The 21,913-nt window shown below is 45.3% G+C and overlaps 1 long non-coding RNA gene across 1 annotated transcript, besides 3 other annotated features; it reads right to left on the reverse strand.

The window, feature by feature from the left end:
* Positions 1,589–1,638: an enhancer, noted in NCBI's record as "active region_17102". NCBI's record gives its function as "activates an Ori minimal core promoter by ATAC-STARR-seq in GM12878 lymphoblastoid cells {active_cell/tissue: GM12878}" and the evidence as "EXISTENCE:reporter gene assay evidence [ECO:0000049][PMID:35858748]".
* Positions 5,855–6,149: an enhancer, noted in NCBI's record as "tiled region #4936; K562 Activating DNase matched - State 8:EnhW". NCBI's record gives its function as "activates a minimal TATA promoter and a strong SV40 promoter by Sharpr-MPRA in K562 cells {active_cell/tissue: K562}" and the evidence as "EXISTENCE:reporter gene assay evidence [ECO:0000049][PMID:27701403]".
* Positions 7,171–13,564, reverse strand: LOC105373873 (uncharacterized). Its single transcript, XR_923877.3, has 4 exons — positions 13,260–13,564; positions 11,565–11,663; positions 10,353–10,586; positions 7,171–10,250 (listed from the first exon to the last, which is right to left on the reverse strand). It is a non-coding gene; the product is annotated as an uncharacterized LOC105373873 (long non-coding RNA).
* Positions 10,772–11,971: an enhancer, noted in NCBI's record as "CDK7 strongly-dependent group 2 enhancer chr2:217928846-217930045 (GRCh37/hg19 assembly coordinates)". NCBI's record gives its function as "activates an origin of replication core promoter dependent on BRD2, BRD4, P300/CBP, MED14 and CDK7 cofactors, with strong dependence on CDK7, by STARR-seq in HCT116 cells {active_cell/tissue: HCT116}" and the evidence as "EXISTENCE:reporter gene assay evidence [ECO:0000049][PMID:35650434]".
* Positions 13,565–21,913: the final 8,349 nt, after the last annotated feature.

Genomic DNA, 21,913 nt, shown 5'->3' on the forward strand with positions numbered 1-21,913 from the left:
CTCACTTGCCAGGGGTAGAGTCATGCTGGAAGTGGAGCCAGGACAGACATTGAACCCTGGCTACCCTGTGATCAATTGCACTCCATACCCTTTGATACCTCATGGGAAAATCAGACAAGTGCTGTTCTGAAAGGCAATTAGGTTTCATGATTTCCTCCCCCATCCGGACATCAGCATGAAATTGGGGGCTTGGCTTCCAAGCCCATGTTCTTCCTTTTTGTGAAGGGCAGGGTGAGACAAAGGACACCACAGGCCAGAGCAACCCTCTGCTTCCATACAGGCCCTAGAAGAGAAGTGAGGACGCGGGTGACCCACACGGCCTTCTGTGCCTCTTCAACAGCTACTCTCCCAGCCTCCCATTTCTGCCAAGCCACATTCTCCACAGGACTCAAACATTTAGCTTTACTTTAGACTTTTCCAGGAATCTTCCCAAATCTCCTTTCCTCATCCCCCCTCACCTCTTCCTCACCACCCACAGCCCCCTCCTCCACCCCCATGTACAACATCCGGCTTTTACTCATGCTTGTTTCTAATTATGCATACTAATTTATTTTCTTTCCTTTTTTCCTGACCTGCCTATATTTTCCTACTCATTCTTTGGCCTCCACTACCGAAAAATGGAATACTCCTCCTGTACAGGGTCAGGGTTTTTCCTTCCCCAGTGCCTAAAGCTGGATTCAGTCCACAGTGACTTCTCTAATAACAGAGTGTAAGGGACTCCTTGGTTGAAAAGAAGGAAAAACCCCAACTTGCCTTTCAGGGTCTCTTCAATGAGCTTGATTTGTGTTAAATTTAGGGGCTCAGGAATTTCTGCCGATTTGCAGCACTTACTACTCCTACCCTTCCCAACATTTGTGCTTTATCGAAACAACTAAATTAGGAGCAGCTTGAGGGTAGGGGTCAGAGCACAGACATTTTCTGTATTGCCTGTAGAAACTAGCACAGTACAGGCACCCCCTAAGTGCAAAAGAAGTCCTTGCTGACCCAGATGGAATTTTCCTGAAGTGAGTGCTTTGTGTCTATCTTTAGAACTAGACTTTCCTGATAAAATAGTCAGGAGATTTGGCTGAATTTTCCAGTATTCAACTGGCTATGTTGGGGTCATGTAGATACAACCTTTAAGAACATAATGACCTTTAAAATATCTATTCCTGAAGTCAGGTTTGGTCCCTAGTCTGTGGGCAGATGACTGTTTTCATGGTATGCTTTGTTCGTGTCCTTCCTGGGTGGGGGAGGATTTGGGGGGACAGTTTGACTCTAGTTATCTACAAAGTTGAGTTATGAGACCAGCCCTTTTCAACTTTACCTCTTGCAAATTGATCCTGTAATAAATTGACATGACGAAAACACCAAAGCAACCAGAGAAATCTCACAAAGGCAAGAACACCATCACACAAGTCCTCAAAATCTTTCCCAAGATCCACTAGGGGTTAATGCCACTGATCTGATACTGGGGCACAGCCTAGGAGGTTTTGCTGTCTCTGAACGCACATGTCTCCAGCTTACAGCTCACAGGCCAGCTTTGTTTTTGAACAGATTGTGTTGGGGGAAGGGAGGCTTCTGAGACAGAGCTGAGAGTCCCCAGCAATGCCATCCCTGGCTTCTGGCCCATCTGAATGCCTTACTCTTTCATGTAAGCAAGACATGAGGTCCTGCTGTTTGAGTTGGCTTTGCCCTGCTCCGTGATTTCAGTTCCTTGTCTCTCCAGCGTGTGGGCTCATTTCCGTCCTCTGAGCACTATTGTTTTTCTGACTTGAACAGTCATCCAGAAAACCTCAGTAATAAGGCTTTTGTATCATTATTTACTTTGCTAATTATATATGTCTTTCCCATCCCCAGTGCTTGAAGACATCAAATTGCAGTTGAAGTAACGGCAGAGGGAAAAGCAAGGGCAACAACAACAAACCACTTCACTCCTCTGGGTGGAAACATGCAATTGTACCAAGAGGGATAAGGAAAAAACTGCTCATGTTTGCAGAAAGAAGTTGGAATAAGGGCGTGAAAGCAGGCGGGCTACTTTAGCATCTGATGCCAGGGATATGAGAGAGTAGCCCAGTGTGTTCATTCAAAAAGTAAGGCTCTGAGGCCAGGACCAGGAAAGATCCTGGAGTCCCCAGTCACAATGGCATGAAGCAGGATGATGCAGAGAGGCTAAGGGGGTGATTCAGTGGGTTCTTTACCTATAAAAATGATGGAAACCCCAACATCAGCTGGGCAAGTGGCCCTGTTCAGAGCTCCTGGACTCGCCATGACTAAAACACTCTGTTTTATTTCGTAGTTGATATCTATTGTTCTTGCCTCCCAGCAAGCAATGGAACAGCACCTTTACTTTCCTTTGAGAAACTATTCCTTTCCCATTCTCAGGGCTTGTGAGGATCAAGTGAGGTCACATAATCCAGATCTGGCCAATCAGCCCATCTCATGCTACTGGCTACACTAATTGGTTTAGGGATAGTAAAGTACTCAAATTTGTTTACTGAACATTTAGCCCTGGAATTTTGGTGATGGGAGGTGTAGAGGGTAAACTCTTGATGATATCATTTGTGTACCTGGGTCCAGCCATGCCTGAACTTTTCAATTACTTGACCCAGTAAATTTCCTTATTCATTTAAATGTTAGAGTTGAGTTTTGTCTCTTATAACTGAAAGAGTGACATGTGTTTATATTAAGTGCAGGTCACTAATATAGTCTATTGGTTTCCCCAGGCTTGTTCTCCTTTTCTCAAATAGGACTGATCAGATAGTAAGTGCTCCATACCTGTAGGATACATAAAAGAGCAAATGAACAAGGAGCAGGAGATATGGTGGCTGACGGTTGGACTATAATTTTTTCTTGATTTTTCTGACTTTATTTTGGCTGTGATCTAGGAAGTGAAATCCAGGTCCTTCTAAACCCCAATTTAACTGTGGCTCCTGAGGGAGATTTTCAGATCTCAAATGATCTGTAAGTTTAAGGGAGGATGATTGGTCCCTGTACACTCTCTGTGAGAGTTCCTTTGGAATACTGGTTTCAGAATGTACAGCCACACAGGTAACTGGATTAGGGACGGCCAGTGGTTTTTTATGAATGCTATTGAAGACACTGAATGGAAGCAATTCTCACCAGAACTCTTTTTGCTGTCATCTTTCAGGGGCTAAGTTGACACTAGAACCAATCAATGATCCCTGAACTGGGAGAAATGGGTGGCCTTGGCTGTGATTTTTGGTTGTGCTGCACATTTCAAGATGACAATATTGTTTTAAATTAACCTGTTAGAGTGCACCTTTCCTAAAGAACTTTACCTTGATGTCTGAGTAAGGGCAGTGCAGGAGGTCCCCCAACTTAGGGGACTGATCATGTTCCAAAGGTCATTTCTCAGTCTGGATGTTTTCATGAGATAATGAATTCCAAGATATTGTAAGGTTCAATATTATAAATGGTTCTTAGTTTACTAAGATAATGCATTGCCTCTTTGTGAAGCCTTCTCTGGTTACCCTAATCAAAAGTAACTTTTCTTTCCTCTTATATGTCACACAGTATTAAATGAGTTGTTTTTTAAAAACATCTTAAAATCTTATACTTAAGCAATTATGTAGATTATCTTGGAGTGTTGAGCTTATTGCTCTCATTAGATGTTAGTAAATGGAAACTGAGTCCACAATTTTCACACTGTTCTAGTTCTTTTTCATTCTGCTTCATTTTCTGTTGTCTCCTGCCAGGTGTCTGTGCTAACTCATCTTGCCTGAGGACCCCTACCCCATGTCTCACTGGTCTGCTTGGCTTACTTCTGAAGCCCAGCACCACCTTCCCTCAGTGGCTCTTAACAATAAACCCTGACACAGAAGTTCTGGCTGGTCCACCTATTCCTTTGAGTCAGGTCACAGGTTTCCCTCCAGCTAACTGATGGATGGACTGTCCTTGGCTCAGGGGTCCACTCTTGTTCAATTAGATACATTTTGGGGGCAGGGTCAGAATTCATAAAATGCAGGCATTTGAAGAACAGGGAATCAAGGTAGAGAGTTCCTAGAAGACAGAGCAGGGAGGTAAAATGAAATATTCTAGTAAAGTATTAATATTTGTGGCAGGATATGGTCTTTTTTCTTTCTTTCTTTTCTTTTGAGATGGAGTCTTACTCTGTCACCCAGGCTGGAATGCCCTGGCATAATCTTGGCTCACTGCAGCCTCCGCCTCCCGGGTTCAAGCGATTCTCATGCCTCAGCCTCCCTAGTAGCTGGTATTACAGATGTCCGCCACTACACCCTGCTAATTTTTGTATTTTTAGTAGAGACGGGGTTTCACCATATAGGCCAGGCTGGTCTCGAACTCCTGACCTCAAGTGATCCCCCGCCTTGGATATGGTCTTAACTAGAAATGAAGAGATCTGAGTTCAAATTCAGCATTTGTCACATGTACCCTCTCTGGTCCCAAGGAAATCAAGTAATATCTCCAATCTTCAGATCTTTCACATGAAGAATAAAGAGTATTGATCACCATATCTCTACACCTCCTTCCAGCTCTAAGACCTCCAGGACTCACCTAGAACCAAATTCATCCCCACACAGTGGCGGCAGGGTCGTGTTGTCATGATGATGGCCTCTTTCGGTGAAGAGAGGTTGTCAGACACCTGGAGCAATGCCAGAGACATTATCCTTCCCTAGGAGAGCTACTGATAAGAAACCACTGGCAGCTCCTCATTCACTTCTCCATCATTCACTCTTTTCTCCTTTCTTTTTCCTTAGAGGCATAAACAAGGTGTAGATCATCCTGTTATCCATAATGAAGGAAGATTTTAGGATATTCCAGCTTAGATCCAGGTGTCCCCAGCTTCTATACTCACTCTGAAGAAGTGTACTTTATCTACTCTTTTTACACCATTTATCCCATTTTGGCCATTTCTGAAAGGAAGATCCTAGAAGCCAGGCCTCTTGGAAGAAGTTGGAGCTACAGCATTGATAGGAAAACCTGACACCTAGAAAGGCAAGTCAGTTCTTCCCATGCAGTGGCTTTGGGGACTGTAATTTAACAAAGCTCTTTTTTACTTGTGTAAAGTGATCTCCATTCCACTTTTTTCTTGCACTGATTCTAATTAAGTGGAAGCAATTGTTATCATCATTTAGGATTATAGTTAAAATACCCCTCAAATTGTTTCCATTTGGAATGGGACCTTGTCCCATTCTGCTCTTGCTGAAGGAAGTCTTCATGGAATCACAGGACTCAACAAACATTTCTCATTAAAAATTCTCTCCTTTAGGCAACAGTGGCATAGAAATCCTTATGTTCTACTGTCTGACCCGTATGAGAACAGCGCACTTCTCAATTTATAAAAGAGGCATTTTCCCTCCTCCTGGGAAAAATATTTCTCTTGGTCACTTGAGTCTAGCATCTAAGTCATATAATGCTATTATAGCCTTGTTTTGCTTTTGATTTAGGTCATATCTTCTTTTTCTGATCTTTCTTAAAGTGAAGGGACCATTTGCTATGCTCACAAAAATTCTCAAGGCTGGAACTACAGCATGCTCTGGTTTCTAAGCCATACACATCCAGGTAGAAGGGTCAATTTAATTGCCAATGATCTCAGCCTTTTCTAACACTGTTCCTTAAGTTTCTTTGGCACTGCATGGCAAGCAACTGAGTCATGCATGAAAATTTCTCTTCTAGACAACCCATACCTACAGAGGGAGGATTTGGTTTACTGCAGATGCTGAGTGCTTCTGATGGCACACATTCCTTCTTATTAATATCCCCCTGGCCCATAATGGTTTGTGTGGACAACAGCTACTTCCTTCAAGGGTCCTTTGCTTGGTAAATATATGCCTCCAGGAGCTTTCTGGGTAGAAGCAGTCACAAATCACAGGGGTATCTATGAATGGCACGGCCCATGGAAGGGCTCACACTGTCCTGATTTTTCTACCATAAGAGCTAAAATAAGGGAATAGGCTTCCAGGAAATAAGTCAGATGGGTTGTCTGACTAAGCACAGGGGCAGGGATTGGAGGTGAGATGACAGAGAACAGTCAGCATTGTCTCCGCTTCCGCTCCACCCTGCAGTTCTGAGCTGAACAGATAATTTATCTGTGGCACAACAAAGTATATGACTTGGAAGAATGTTAAAGATCAAGTCCACCTTCTCCTTGTATTATATGGCTCTGAGAGCCAGAGAGGGGAGGTGACCTTCCCAGAATGTGAATGTGGTAGAGCCTAGCTTACAATTCATGTCCAACTTAGGTGTGAAGTTCTATGAGACTATGCTGCCCTCTGCCTCACAATGCTTTCTCCCATGGGAGAGGAGGCTCAGAGGTACAAAGCAGCTGCAGAAAGACTCTCTCAAGCTATTGACTCTTGGATGACAACAATTAATGTTCAACTTGGCTTTACCCCCAACATGCACTGCACAGATGCCTGCAGGTCTACAATGCCGAGACCAAGTTTGGGGGGCATTTCCGCAGCTCTGTCTATTGTCCTCCTTTCCTCTTCTGTGGTCATTCTTCCCAAGGGATAGGCCTAGTCCAGGGTGGAGAAAAACAATTCTTGGTGGTAGGGGCATTGGAATTGTATGGGCAGGGTTCTAGGCCAACTTTGGCCTTTCACAATTCTGCTAAGCATTGAACAGAATTTTCACCCTAATTTCACCTTCCCTTCCATCCCTTCCCTAATTTTGCTAGTGTGTATGGAGTTGATTTGATGAGACCTCGTCTTTTTTTTTTTCTCCCTTGTAACGTGGGCCCTATCTTCAAGCCTATCTTCATAGCCTTTCTTTTCCAGACCTTGCCAAAAAGCAGTAGAAGAGAGGTTACAAAATATAAGAGGAAACCTTAAAACAAACAGGGTAGAACTGGAGGGAATCTTAAATAATGCCTAACCCAACTCCATATTCCACTGATAGGAAACTGAGATCCTGAGACACCATCCAAATTCTGATGTAATCAGCAGAACTTAATATGCCACTTTGAGCACAGAACCAAGTACTTTAGAGGTAAGAGAGGCTATTTGTTTCCAGCACAGGCTGAAACCCACATGAGAAAGTTGGACTTTAAGTGACCATAGTCACATTCTGATAAATTCTAAAATGTCTCTCTCATTTTCTCTGACATCATATTGTCATTTTTCATACCACAAATGTGTTACAGTGAAAACCAGGTATAGGTCAATAGATAGTACCAAGAAAAAGAAAAGTTATCATTCTTTAATGCTCTTTAGTTTGAAAACTTTATTTATTTCTTTATTTTGATGGAGGAGTAGAGTGGGTCAAGCTAAGAGTTGCCTTATAAACCTGTTGTTCTCAGCAAATGAGTCAGCTGAGATAAAAACATTAGTTTCCTTGGCGTGTCAGCATCTCTCCCAAAGGAGGGTATTAGTTCATGGGTTGGCATTGCTATCACAAAGAAGGCTCTGGCAGCACCTGATTGGCTTGGCCAAGCTTTTCCCAGTTGGCGTCTGGGCATCTTCCTAGCAGTGGGTCACTCACCCAGCAGTGATTTGGCCTCCTGTTGACATAAATATGCCTAATTCAAAGCAGAAAGTCAATTTGTTATTTTGCCTAAAGAAATGTAACTACCAAGCAGGCTAGATTTCTGTCTTGGCATAACCAGGAAATCTTTACCAATAATTTATGATGTGGTCACCCTTGTTGTAGGCATTATGGAAGATGGAAAGATATATAAGGAATGGCGTCTTGCAAAAAGAACTGGACTTTTTTTTTTTTTTTTTTTTTTGTAGCAATGTGGAGAGTAAAAGCCCAGGGGTCAAATGGTAATTATAGAAGGAGATTCATTTAAAGAATGTCATAAGGAAATAGAAAATAAAGGAAACATTGCAGGAAACCATAGGGGGCTAGCTGATTCATGGAAAATGTGAGGTTATGGCTGGGTCTAAGAATAAGTAAATCATTGGTGACTATGGTTGTAGAGGTTAGGACAGAGAAAGCTGGAGCAACAAGCAATCATCTGCCAGATAAGACCCCGGGCTGGGTGAATGCAAGGAGGGAGCGGACAATTTTGTCTTCCAACTCTGTGGAGCTGGAGCCTTATCTTAGGAGTCCAGTGGGCCTGGAGGCCTGATCACCAACCAGTGTAATGTTAGAATAAGACTTCCCTAAGCAAATCAATGTGATGATTGATACAAACAGCCATCACTGGGGCCTCCTCTATTTCCAATCTCTTCCTCAGTTTCCCAGTTCTTTCAGAACCTCACTGGGAAGTTCAGGGATATATGCCTGCAGGCTGGCCTGGCGCAGATGGATGATGAAGGGTCCTGCCTTGAGTGTAGGGTAGAGTGATTCTGAGTGCTTTCCAACAGACTGTAAATTAAAGACACTCCAAAAAGCCCCTGGTGGGGATAGATGGGGAGAAGGGGTATCACTAAGTCTTCATCTTTTCTTCTAGGGCCAGGGTCAGTGGTTCAAATAAACATGGTGCCCCACAGAGATGGCCTGTGGCCAAGTAGCTCTCAGTGGGTTGACTCAAAGTCACCTGGACAGGCCTGGCGGAAACGCAGGATGGCCCAGCCCTTTCCTAATAGGTTTTCCAGAGTTGATCCATCATTCTGCCCAGAAAAGGGGAGAATAAAAAATAGATCACGAGCCCCTATGACTGTGACTTGTGCTTCCTTGGAAATGCAAACAGGTGAAGGAGAAAATGACACAGCTAGGGTGGTAGGGGGCACTGGAAGTCAACACATTTCTGGGTTCAAATGAGAAGGGTGAGGTGCTGGCATGGAGGAAACTGGCACTGGCCGTCTCCAGGCAGGACTTTCTGGGCACTGGGCAAGGCCATGGCTTTGGGAGCTGCCCCAAGCTGCTGGTCGTGCCAGTGCTTCATTCACCCTGTGAAATGTATTAATTAGTGAGTGGTTTTGGCTCAGAGAGAGTTGCTGTGGCTTCAGATGGATATAGCAGAAAAAAGGCAAATCCATCTACAGGCGCCTCTGAGAAATCTCAGCTCTTGTGAGCCTGAGAAGAGCTTCCATAGAGAGAAGGCGAGACCCCAGCAAAGTTGGACGGAGAAAATTGAGACACCCACACCAATTAGTATGAGTCTATCAATCCAGTGCCACCGAAACACAAGTCTAAGCCTAACAGAATCTGTGCTGCGAATAAGTAAGATTGTTGGAAACAGAACAAAAAAAAACTTTGCAAATGGTGCTTCTTTAAGCTTCTGCAGTTCTCTTCTCTCACTCCCTTTTCAAAAATGGCTGTAAAAAAAATTTTTGGTCTGGTTTAGCCAGAGCGCGTCAGAGCTGGTAGATGCCTTCAAAACTGTGATCTCCCTTTAATTGTCAGAGGGTAGGCTGAGGTCCAGGGAGGTAAACAGACTTTTCCTAAGCTCTGTAGCTGGCTACTGGCAGGATTGAGGGAAGGTGGAACAAGCCTCTTCATTCCCAATTCAGGTTTCTTTCTTCCATCCCACATCTCATGCAATAAACATTTCCAAATCTACCTGCCCAGCGGGGCTAAGAGCAGAGTGGTCTCCAGAATAAGTGGAATAGCATCTCAGGGACTGCTGGTCTGAACACGTACTCCGAACATCACAGCTGCTGCCAAGCGGGCAGACGCCTTAGCCCCAGCCCCTCTCCCTGGGCTTTCCTGGGTCTTGTCGACACTTCTCACATCACTCTGCCTTAAATTTTTCTCCCCCTAGAAAGAGATAACTTGCCTTTCATTCATGCCTACCTAACTCAGTTCAATTCAAGTACATAAATCCTGCTGACAACCCTGGCAGAAGCTTTATGAGTAGGGAGTAAAGATTGTGAGAAAGGCAGGGAATTAATTTATAAGGAAGGAACAATGGGAGAGGAGAGAAACAAAGAGAAGGATGCAAAGCAATTAATGTTAATTGATGCTTAATATATGCCAGGCCCAGTCATCCTAGTTATTTCATTTAATCTTTAAAATAATCCTTGTGTTGTCATCCATGCGTTTTCAGTTGCAGTTCCATGATTTAAGAAAAGCACACAGCCAGAAAGTGGCAGAGAAAAAATCATATCCTGAGTGACAGCTTTACCGGCCCAGTGCTTTCCATTCTAACAAATAGTAGAAAGAGGGAAAGAGAGAAGAATCCCTTGGTGATAGGAATAAGGTAGAGAGAGGCTGTGAAAGAGAGAAACAGGGCTTTGGGGGATCCTGGGTTCTGATGCTGACCTCTGTGTCATTTCTGTATCCATTGTATGAATGTTTATGGAAAGTCAGCTACGAAGCAAATTGTTCTAGGCAGGGGGGTTTCAGCAGAGCTTGGGAGAGCAGATGGTGGGAGGAGTGCATCCATAGGATAGCCTGGGCTGTGGGAATAAGAGAACAGCAAGTCAGGGTGAGTGCTGCAAAGACAATATAAGAGAGCGACAGGCCTCAGAGAACCTGGGAAAAGGAATGAATGGGGTCACCTTAGGAAGTTCATTAGGAGGGGCCTCTCTGAAGAGGTGACCTTTGAGTCGAGACCTGAGGCACTGGAGTTACAGGAAATGTGATGTTGCACGTGGAGAATTTCTTGGAAATGGAGCAGCAATGTAGTCTGACCCTATTGTTGGGCCCATTAACTTGGGCAATGTCTCACCAAGGTGGAGGATGGTGACAGGTCCTCCTGGGATATGGGCCATGGCAGGACGAGGGGACAATGTCTGTAAAGGATTTAAAAAGAGTCATCAATTCTAACGATGTCAATGATAAAATACTTCTCCATATGCAGGGGGCCATTTCCATGACCCAGCTCATAAGGAGTGGAGAGAGTGCTATCTTCCTCTAGAGGCAGCTCCAGGAAGCAGGAGCTGGTAACCTGGGGGCTGCTCTGAAACCTTCAAAAGGGCAAATCATGTAGGAGTCTCTGGCCACTTTCTTTTCTGTAAGAGAAGATTCACTCAAGGTCAGGGGACCCTAAGGACCCCAGGGAATCACCCAAAAACTCCAGCCAGCCCCTAGAGGAAGACAATCCACAGAGCTGGCCCCATCCCTTCGGCCTGTGGCTAAGGCCCATCTGCCCATGGTTCCTTCTTGAAGTAATTGCTGTAAGAATTTGTCATTCACAAAAGGAAGTCTCTATTGTCTCTTTTCGGATGTCATGTAACCAATGCGTGTTAAAGGTCAGTTGCATCAGTTCTCTTAAATGGCAATTAAGCTATTGTCTGAGCAAACCAGAGGCATCCGGAGTGCAAGCTTCGCTCAAACCTAGGGACCTGGGAAAGGCTGGGAACAGAGGAGCAAGTAGGACACCACAGGGGAGGGCCGTGGCTTCAGGAAACGTGGGGAACACCCTGAACTGTAAAAGCAGATGCGTCAGCAGACAAAGGGGGTCATTTCACTAAAGCCTCAGTGAAGCAGAGAAATTCCAGACTTTGCCCATCACCTACTGGCAGGCTCTCCCTCCCTCTGTCCCCTCCCCACCCTCTCCTCACCCTTGTCTTTCTCTGCTTCATTATCTCACGCTCTCTCTTTCTCTCCCGCAGTTTCTCTGTCTCTCAGTCTCGATTTCTCACATCCTGTTTCTCTTTCTTCTTTACTCTTTCTCCCTCTCCTTCACCTCTCCTGGCTTCACTCCACTCCCCCCACCCACTCTGTTCCCTCTCACATTCTCATTTGGGGATGGGGGGCGGCTGACAAACCGGATTGGGGGGGTCTGACAAACTGGATTTAAATTTCAGCTCCGCAGCGTTCTCAGCTCTTGGTCTTGGAAATGTTCCCTGAGCTTCGGTTTTTCTCATCTGAAAATGAAAAAAATAATACCTAGCTCCAAGTATTGAGCTTGTTGTGAGGAATCAAACAGATAACGTTTCTAAAATTCCAAACACAGTGCCTGGTCCACGGCAGATGCTTGACTGGTGACAGCTTCCTTTCCCAGTGAGGCCCAGGGAAGTAGGCACAGTGCTTGGCACCCTGCAAGCATGCGACACAGCTTCACAAAATACCCACAGGGAGCCAGGAGCACCGCTTGAATTTTATGGATGACAAAATTGTGGTTCAAGGAAGGTAAAAGTACCCTGGTAGGACACGTAATTTTTAAAAAGTCTATAGCTATTGATATTACTATATATTAATTCCCATTCTGTCCCTCCGGTTTCTCCCCTGAACACTAATTTCCAAATCCCCAACACTCTATGGTTTAAATGATAAACGATTCACCCAAATACTGTATAATTTTTTTTTTCCTTTTGGGTCAGGGCCATGCTCTGTCACCCAGGCTAGAGTGCAGTGGTACAATCGCAGCTAACTGCAGCCTCAACCTCCCAGGCTTAAGTGATCCTCCCACTTCACAGCCTCCCAAGTAGTTGGGACTACAGGCATGCACAACCACAACTAGCTAATTTTTAAAATTTTTGGCAAAGACAGATCTCACTACGTTGCCCTGGCTGGTCTCGAACTCATGGACTCAAATGATCCTTTCTCCTCAGCCTCCCAAAGTGCTTGGATTACAGATGTGAGCCACCGCACATGGCCATGTACAATTCTTGAAGAAGCTGAAACTCATCTTTCTTTCTCGGTATAAGAAAACTCAGGATATGTTTGGACATCCCCTCCCATCTGCCCTCCCAGCCTCCTCTTCTCCAGGCTGAACCAGATCCTGCTGCATCTTTCTCAAAGACTCTCTTACATCCTCATTATGGTTTCTGCCCCAGTCCTCCATGCTTCTCTGAAGTTTAGAGTCAAAATGCCCTTTTTTGCTTTAGGGGTGAGACCTTCTCTAGCACCGTGTGTCTACAACACAGAGAGGGCAAACAGAGATAGTGCTTGGTATTTTATTTTTAAAATTTTTAATCTTGATTATATTTTGCAATGTTTATACCATTGCACAACACACGGAAGCATTAGTCACAATTTATATAGCTGATTTCATGGAGCTGAATTCTATGGTGTTTATAGCCGTTGAGTGTCTTCTCCCAGAAATTGGAAAGATGCCCCATTTGCTGTAACACACACGACCTCCACCCCATTCTTTTCCTTTGTAACCCAAACCACAATGTGTAATTGTGTGTTTATTTTGTGTTTAATGTTTATCTCTTCGCCCAGGCTCTAAGGCTCTATGAGGGCAGGGATCACATCTGTTTAGTTCACCCAGATTTCATTATATATCCAGCATTCTACACTCTGTAACTGCTTAGTCTCAACTCTGACCACACATTAAGTCATCAAGGGAGTTAACAGAAAAAAAAAAAAAACAATAAACAAGCAAAATGTTTACTAATGTTCCACAAGCTCTTTTGAATCAACTGGTCCCTGTGGCACCTGGGGATCCGTAGTCATGAAAATCCTGCCAGGGATTCTTGATCCGGGATCTGGTGATCCTCGGCAGGACAACTCACCATTCTGTTCGGTTGCCCGCTTGCCTCCTCCCGCTGGCTCCAGCTTCTGTGCCTACAATGAAGGCTGTGCCCATTCCCTCACGTGCCCGCCGTGGCCTGACACCTTCCTGGGCCCACCCTAACACATTCCTCCGTTGCTTTTAACGACTGTTTACAGCTCGCTACCTCTAGGACGTGGCTTCTGATGAAAACTGTCCAGACGCTCTGCCTCCGGTGTAATTCAGAGCCCAGCTCTCCTCCTTAAAATTCTTTTACGCTATTTTCCACAAGCATGTGCTTCTGTTGGCAGTGCCATAAGTGTGATTGATCTTTACCATAAGTTCCTTGAACTTTGCTGTGACCTGGATGCTAAGGTGGCGGGAGCTGCCTCCATCCCCACAATTTGACTGGTACAACCCGAAAGTAGGATGATAGTCTGTTCTGGTCAAACATTAACGTGGGGCAGGGACAATGGAGAGAGGGTTTGGTCATCTGGCATGCTGCAGACTGCCAGAGGAGCTGGAAAGGCTGAGTATGGGAAAGGGGAGGGATTTCATGGCCTCTTCGGGCTTTGAGTATTTGAAGAAACTGCCTATGGAAGACCAGACCTGTGCCCTGCCTCCCAAGAAACACACAGAGCTTAGACGGTGGAAGCTATCTGGGGCAAATTCAGCTCCCTGTGAGGAAGGTCTTCTAGTTGTTAGGGGTGTCTTGGTAGGTCAGGGAGGGTTTTCCAGCATCAGTCATTTTCATACCAATCTCTCGGTTTTTGCCATATTCCTGTACCACCCGTGCTTTTATTTACCTAATCTTTTTTATTTACCGAATTTTTAACCTAATATTTCCTTTAAAACAACTTTAAATTGACACACTTTGTTTCATTCCTGTTTTTAAAAAGTACCTATGGCAAAAGATATGAATAGACACTTCTCAAAAGAAGACATGCAAGCCGCCAACAAACATATGGAAAAATGTTCATCATCACTAATTATCAGAAAAATGCAAACCAAAATCACAGTGAGATATCATCTCACACCAGTTAGAATGGCCATTATTAAAAAGTCAAAACCAACAGATGTTGGTGAGGCTGCAGAGAAAAGAGAACACTTATATATTCTTGAGAATTTAAATTAGTTCAGCCACTGTGGAAAGAAGTTTGGAGATTTCTCAAAGAACTTAAACAGAACTACCATTTGACCCAGCAATCCCGTGACTGGGTATGTACCTAAAAGAAAACAAATTGTTCAACCAAAAAGACATATGCACTCACATGTTCATCATAGCACTATTCACAATAGCACGGTTCATGGAATCAACGTAGGTGCCCACCAACAATAGATTGGATAAAGAAAATGTGGTACATATATACCATGGAATACTATGCAGCCATGAAAAAGAAGGAAATCACGTCCTGTACAGCAACATGGATGCAGAGGGAGGCCATTATCCAAAGCAAATTAACACAGGAACAGAAAACCACATACCACATGTTCTCACTTATAAGTGGGAACTAAACATCAGGTACTCGTGGACATAAAGATGGCAACAATAGGCCAGGCACGGTGCTGATGCCTGTAATCCCAGCACTTGGGGAGGCTGAGGCGGGTGGATCATATGAGGTCAGGAGTTTGACACCAGCCTAGCCAACATGGTGAAAGCCCATCTCTACTAAAAATATAAAAATTAGCTGGGTGTGGTGGCACACACCTGAAATCCCAGCTACTCAGGAGGCTGAGGTGGGAGAATTTCTTGAACCTGGGAGGCAGAGATTGCAGTAAGCCAAGAAGGTGCCACTGCATTCCAGCCTGGGCAACAGAGTGAGACTCTGTCTCCAAAAAAAAAAAAAAAAAAAAAAAAAGATAGCAACAATAGACACTGGTAACATACCCAGGTAACAACATACCCAATATATGCATGATATACCCACACAACATACCCAGGTAACAAACCTGCATTTGTACTGCCTGGTGGGTGTGGTTTGTGAACCGGTATGTGTGGTCTGTGGTATGTATGGATGTGTGTAGTTTGTGAACTGGTGTGTGTGGCATATGGTGTGTATGTGGGTAACTGGCATAACTGGGGTATGGTAGGTATGGGTATGTGTGGTATGTGAACTGGTAAGTGATATGTATGAGTGCGTATGGTGTGTGTTGCGGGTGGTGTGTGAACTGGTGTGTGGTGTGTGGTATGCATCGGTGCATGTGATGTGTGAACTGGTGTGTGTGGTATGGTATGCATGGGTGTGTGTAGTGTGTGAACTGATATGTGTGGTTTGTGAACTGGTATGAACTGGTGTGGTGTGTGATGTGTGGTATGTATGGGTGTGTATGGTTTGTAAACTGGTGCATGTGGTGTGAACTGGTGTGTGGTATGCATGGAGATGTGTGGTTTGTGAACTGGTGTGAATTGGTGTGTGGTGTGTGGTATATATGGATGTGTGGTATGTGAACTTGTATGTGTGGTGTGGTTTGGATGTGGTGCATGTGGTATGTGCAGTATGTGGTGAGAGTGTGGCGTGTGGTGTATGTGGTGCATGTGGTGTGTTTGGTATGTGGTATGCGTATGGTGTGTGTGGTGTATGGGGCATATGTGGTTTGTGTGTGGTGTGGTGTTTGTAGAGTGTGGTGCGCATGGTGTGTGTGGTATGTGGTGTGTGTGTGGCATGTGGTGTATGGGGTGTATGTGGTTTGTGTGGGGTGTGTGGGATACGTGGGGTATATGTGGTGGGGTGTGTGGTGTCTGTGATGTGTGGTATGTATGGGGGTATGTGGTGTGTGAATTGGTGTGTGTGGTTTGTAAACTGGTGCATGTGGTGTGAATTGGTATGTGGTGTGCATGGAAGTGTGTGGTTTTTGAACTGGTGTGAACTGCTGTGTGGTGTGTGGTATATATGGATGTGTGGTATGTGAACTTGTATGTGTGGTGTGGTTTGGATGTGGTATATGTGGTGTGTGCAGTATATGGTGTGTTTGTGGCGTGTGGTGTATGTGGTGCATGTGTGCGGTATGTAGTGTGTGTGTGGCGTGTGGTGTGTGTGGTATAGGGGTATATGTGGTTTGTGTGGGGTGTATGGGGTGCGTGAGGTGTGTGTGGTGTGATATGTGGTGTCTGTGGTGTGTGGTATGTATGGGGGTATGTGGTGTGTGAATTGGTGTGTGCACCATGGTATGTATGGGTATGTGTGGTCTGTGAACTGGTAGGGGTGCTGTGGTGGGGAGTGGTGTGTGTGGTGTGTGGCATGTATGGATGTGTGTGGTGTGTGTCTTGGGAGTGAGGGTGCTTATCATGAGCAGGTGCTGCAGAAGCCCTCAGGGAAGATGACTTCACTGGGAGCTGAGATGACCTCACTGGGCGCCCTCCTTCAGCAGATGCGAGGACAGGCCCACAGGCCTAAAGTCAATTAGAGGCAGATTTCCAAGCAGAATCTACTTCTCCTGACCTCTGATTCAGTGCCTTTTCCTGACAATTTTATCCCTGCGACCCCAGCCTTGAGAATGCAAAAAACTACCCCCAACTTCAGCCTGAGGTCATGAAACCAACCAGGAGTGCAGGCCGTCTAGGGGAGGTGCGAGTGCCCACCTACTGGGCAGCCACTCTGAGGGCAAAGTCCACGGGAGACACAGCTTCAGCCACCACCGGGGCTGCGACCTGTCCTCAGGATCCTCCTCAGCCCCCTCCAGGAGTCCTCAGCTTTCTGCTTTTAGCCCCAAACCCAGATTCACTTTCCCAGGCCATTCACCGTCTGAGGCAGCCCAGTCCGCTTTGTCCTTCCTCCTTCCCGAAGGCTCTCAGCCCCTGGGCAGTATCAGAATTTCACTTTGATCTCCTTTTCCCTGGGAGCCAGAATAGCTTAGTCTCTTCAAAAGGAGAGTTAGAAAGTGTGCCGTTCATCTAATAAAAATTAACTCCTGAGAGTTATCCAATCCCAATACAGGTCATTTCGCTGGAGGCTACCCCGACTAGGAAACACATTTTAGGACATCAGCAGAGGTAAAGATGAGAGCAATTTGCTCAGGCTTTTACTTGGGGTTAAGGATCACTAGGCCACCAGGACCAGGGATGCCAGACAACCTCAGGTTTCTTTCCAAGCTTTCTCCAAACTAGGCCTCACTTTTATCATTTTCCTACCCCTGGGCTCTATGATTTTGTGGTGTTGCTTTTGTGTTTTCAAAAACACTGCATTCATTCATTAGCTCTGCACTTTCCCTCATGCAATGCACACAGAACTGTAAAGACAAATGATAAAGCCCTTTCCCGCTTGGATCTTGTGTTGTTGGCCAGGTTCATTCAAAAGGCCATTGTTTGATGGTGATTAAGTGTGTTTGTTTTGAATATTCACCTAAACAAAAATGATCAATTTACACAATTCTTGGAATTCATGGGTGTCTTGGGAAAACTTGAAGCCACAAAAAATGTTCAATACATAAATGCCAAGGACCTCCTGCTGTCAATTAAGACCCTCATGATAGTCTTTTGCTTATTTGCTCGTTAATTCATGTAAAAGTGGTTTGTGAGCAAATTAAGCATCAGTTGGCATGCCGGACATGGACACATAGATACAGTTTGTGGTCTGGAGGGGAGGTGGAAATGAGAGTCTCACAGGCTGCCCTCGGCCCAGAACTTCTGTGTGGAGGTTTTGCATAAAAATCAGAATTTCTGGATTCTTATAAAAACCCTAAAGTTCTAGCCCCATTAGGGCCACTGTTCCACTCACAGCCCTGAGTAAGCCTCCCCCATCAGCCCAGGCATGGACCCTTTGTCCTGCCTCTGTTGTCACTCTCCCGACTGTCTCAGACCTAACCAGCTCCTCTTCTGTTTGTGACTTGCCCTTATGGGAGCCTGAGGGCTCCTACCTACTAGATGAAGCTGATGGGGACATTCTCCCAAATGAGAAAGCGATGGAAAGTTGTGACCATCAGAGGAAGATCAGAGATCAAGCCTTGTTGATGTAAAAGGAATTAAAGTTGAGAAACCATTTCCTGCAACCAGAATTGTGAAAGCATACAACGTAGTACCAAAGGAAAATTACCGAAGCCTCCTTCCCTGAAGAACCTTCAGGAAGGGGAGGCCAGCCGTCTGACGTGATCACAGTGATGTCTTGCCCTGAAACAAGAAGCATTCTTCCCAGGTCCTTTCCGCCGGAGGATTCTTATTCTGTGATCAATGCTGAGCTATGTGGATGAGTGTTTGCGTGGATTTCTTTTAAAACTATATTGCTAAATAATCTTGCCCCCTGGCCCCATGCACGTTCTTTTTTTTTTTTTTTTTTGCACCCAGATAAGAAAAAGACTTGAATGTATTTTTTTCTATAAAATGCAGTCAATATTGTTCTGTGAGGGGGAAAGAAGTAGTGGAGGATGAAGATGGAACAGGGGATGAGGTGGTGACCAGCATGCCCTCATGGATAGACACTGAGCAGGGAGAGGCAGGGATATGCATGGAGTAAGCCCTCTCTCTCTCTAGGACAAAGCAAATTATGTCTTCATGCCAGTGGACTCTGCATATTCATTGAAAAAAATAAGATTTAATTAATTTAGGGAAGCAATATGGGCTGACCAGACAGCCAAGTTCTTCAAGATAGGACAGTAAAACATTTTATGTGAGAGCTGGCCAATGTCTGGATGGAAGAGGGAGGGCCAGGGAGACTGGAGAGATATTGAGGGGGTGAGGAGGTTTGAGGAATCCACAGTGGGGTGAGCTTCATGACCAGTGGAATGAAATAAGGGCTATTCTGGATGGACGACCAATGTCAGTGCAAGGCCCTCAATCTCTTGGGATAACACTGGAGTTGGAATACATATGAAAAAAAAAATCCACAAGTATAAAAGAAGTAAGCAGAGGCCGGGCATGGTGACTCACACCTGTAATCCCAGCACTTTGGGAGGCCAAGGCGGGCAGATTGCCTGAGGTCAGGAGTTCGTGACCAGTCTGGCCAACATGGTGAAACCCCGTCTCTACTAAAATTAGCCAGGTATGGTGGCGTGCACCTGTAATCCCAGCTACTCAGGAGGCTGAAGCAGGAGAATTGCTTGACCCAGGGAGGTCGAGGTTGCAGTGAGCCGAGATCGCACCACTGCACTCTAGCCTGGGCGACAGAGTGAGACTCCATCTCAAAAAAAGACTGGAATAGAGTACATTTGTCATAGGCCAACTGCCTCCATGCTCTTGTCTCACAGAGATGTTTATAACAAGCTTGAGTAGCTACAACTGGATACTTTGGTCTATATATGCTTTCCTCGTGATTCTTTTTTTCCTCCTTCTTAGCTTAAACAAATGCACACAGAGGGAAGTGGATAAACTATTAGCAGAGTAAGCACTTGCCAAGAATACCGGGGGCACCAAAAACACATAAAAACAGGCTTGGTTGGGAGCCCGATGTGGGCAGATCACAAGGTCAAGAGATCGAGACCATCTTGGCCAACATGATGAAACCCTGTCTCTAGGAAAAATACAAAAATTAGCTGGGTATGGTGACGCACGCCTGTAGTCCCAGCTACTCGGAAGGTTGAGGCAGGAGAATCACTGAAACCCAGGAGCTGCAGGTTGCAGTGAGCCGAGATTGTGCCACTGCACTCCAGCCTGGCGACAGAGTGAGACTCTGTCTCAAAAAAAAAAAAAAAAAAAAAAAGCGAGGGGATCTTGGGGAACCTAGGAAGAAGTTACTTAAATTTCAGCACATGCTATATAGTTTTCAGGATTAGTCCCTCTCTAGGTATTCATCTGGGGCTGGCGCCTCCTTGGCTGGCAGGGGCTGGTGATCGGGACTCCCCAGCGAGACAGATTGCACCCAGAGCAGTGAGGCCCCGAGCGCTTCCTGGAGCCTGGGGAAGATGGCATTCATTTTTAAAGTCCATTTATTGTGCAGTTGTTGAAAGTGGGACACAGAAATTTGGACTGATATGCCTAGGCCACATGACTACTGATTGGGCCAGGGTAAATGCAGTCTTTTTGTTGATGGAGAAGGTCTTTTCTGGGCCCAGCACAAAGCAATGGATCTTCAGTCTTAAGAAATGCATTGAAAACCATCCTTGTGCAGTTTGGGGTCCCTGGTAGGCCAAGAGCTGGAAAGGCCCTTAGACTCTGAGTGCTGTAGCCCCCCTTCTAGGTGATGGTCAAAACTTGAAAACGGCTCTAGACTCTGGACAGAAATGCATGAGAATTGAGTGTTCAAAGCTTGGTGCTTTGACTTCTTTTAACTTTCTGTAGACTGAAATATGAATAAGAGGAAGGCATGAGGCCCCTCTCAGTTTATGGAGCCATAGCTCCAAACCTCCCACTTTCCAACCCAGCAACCCTGTGTGTCCTAGGAATTGTAGCGGGTGTCCCAGAATGCAAAAATCACTCTGCTAGAACTGGAAAAGGAGACGCCTGCCTTTTCTAGCACGATCTTTAGTAAATAGATTCAGGAAATGTGGGTCCTGGTCAGAGCTGGTGCCACAAGCTGAGTGCCTTCAGGCAGCAGACTTAGCCTCTTCAAGTCCAATCTCATCAGTAGTATCAGGGGGCTGAGATGGATGATCTCTAAGCAACCTTCCAACCACAGTGTTTTATAATTCTGTGTTCTGTGACCCATGTCTTCCTTGGAGGGCTCTTCAATCATGATCCCTATTACTATTGCCTTTGTTCGTATTAATAATAGCTTTCAATTATTATTCCTCAGATCATTCTTGGAGCACACATATCATAACTGGAGCACACAATAATGACAAGGACAGAAGCCAAGCATGTCATAAGCAGCCATTGTTGAAACAGATATGCTGCAGGGGCTGGAGTGACAATCGCTAAATGTCCCCCCACCACACACACACACACACACACACACACACACACACACCTGCCCCTGGCAGGCCCAGCCTCAGGGCTCAGCCAGGTGACTTTTTCTTCTGGGTCATTAGGAGTCTGGGGTGAGCCCAGGCTACAGGAGGAAGGCATTACTTTGTCATTTTGGGAAAAAGGGTCACGTGTCCTACTTTTGCAGATGACAGCTCATTTTAACTTTACACTTGCATGCTGGTTTGGGAGGACTTTGAAGAGGCAGCATTGAGTAGTGGTTAAGAAAAACACAAGCTCTAGAGGAATGTAGGATTTTTTGTGTCCCAGCTCTTCCACTTGATAAGCTTTGCATCATGGGAGAAGTTACTTAATTCTCTGTGTCTCAGTTTTCTCATCTGTAAAATGGGGATAATCCCAGGTCCTCCTCCTCAGTGGTTTAAGGATGGAGTGAGTGAACGTATGTTAGAGCAAGGCCTGGCTCACTGTGAGAACATAAGTCATATTAGCTATTGTGATGGTCTTCTTAACCGCCTTCTTACAGAAATAATAGAACTGAGGCCCAGAAAGACAGAGAGAGAAAAAATAGCTTGACTGAGCACATGGCCAGTGGTGACAAAGTTGGAAACACTTCAGCTTCCTGATTCAGTGCTGGCTTTGAGGGCAGTGCTCTCTCCCTGAGCTTCCCACAATATATTCCAAAGGCCCCTTCTAAGCATATGTCTTCTACATCAGCACTCACCACTATCAGCAGGACTGACCTCCCCAGTGTTTCCCACACACACCCAGCATTCTTCCGTCCCATCTCTACCTTGGGATTTCCTTCCTGCTTTTCTCTACCCTGTTCAGGGAACACGTCCAACCAGCCTTCCTCCGCGGACACTGCCCAGACTTCTCCATGGGCA

The sequence above is a fragment of the Homo sapiens genome, chromosome 2 (genome assembly GCF_000001405.40).
Source record: "Homo sapiens chromosome 2, GRCh38.p14 Primary Assembly".
Lineage (NCBI taxonomy): Eukaryota > Metazoa > Chordata > Mammalia > Primates > Hominidae > Homo > Homo sapiens.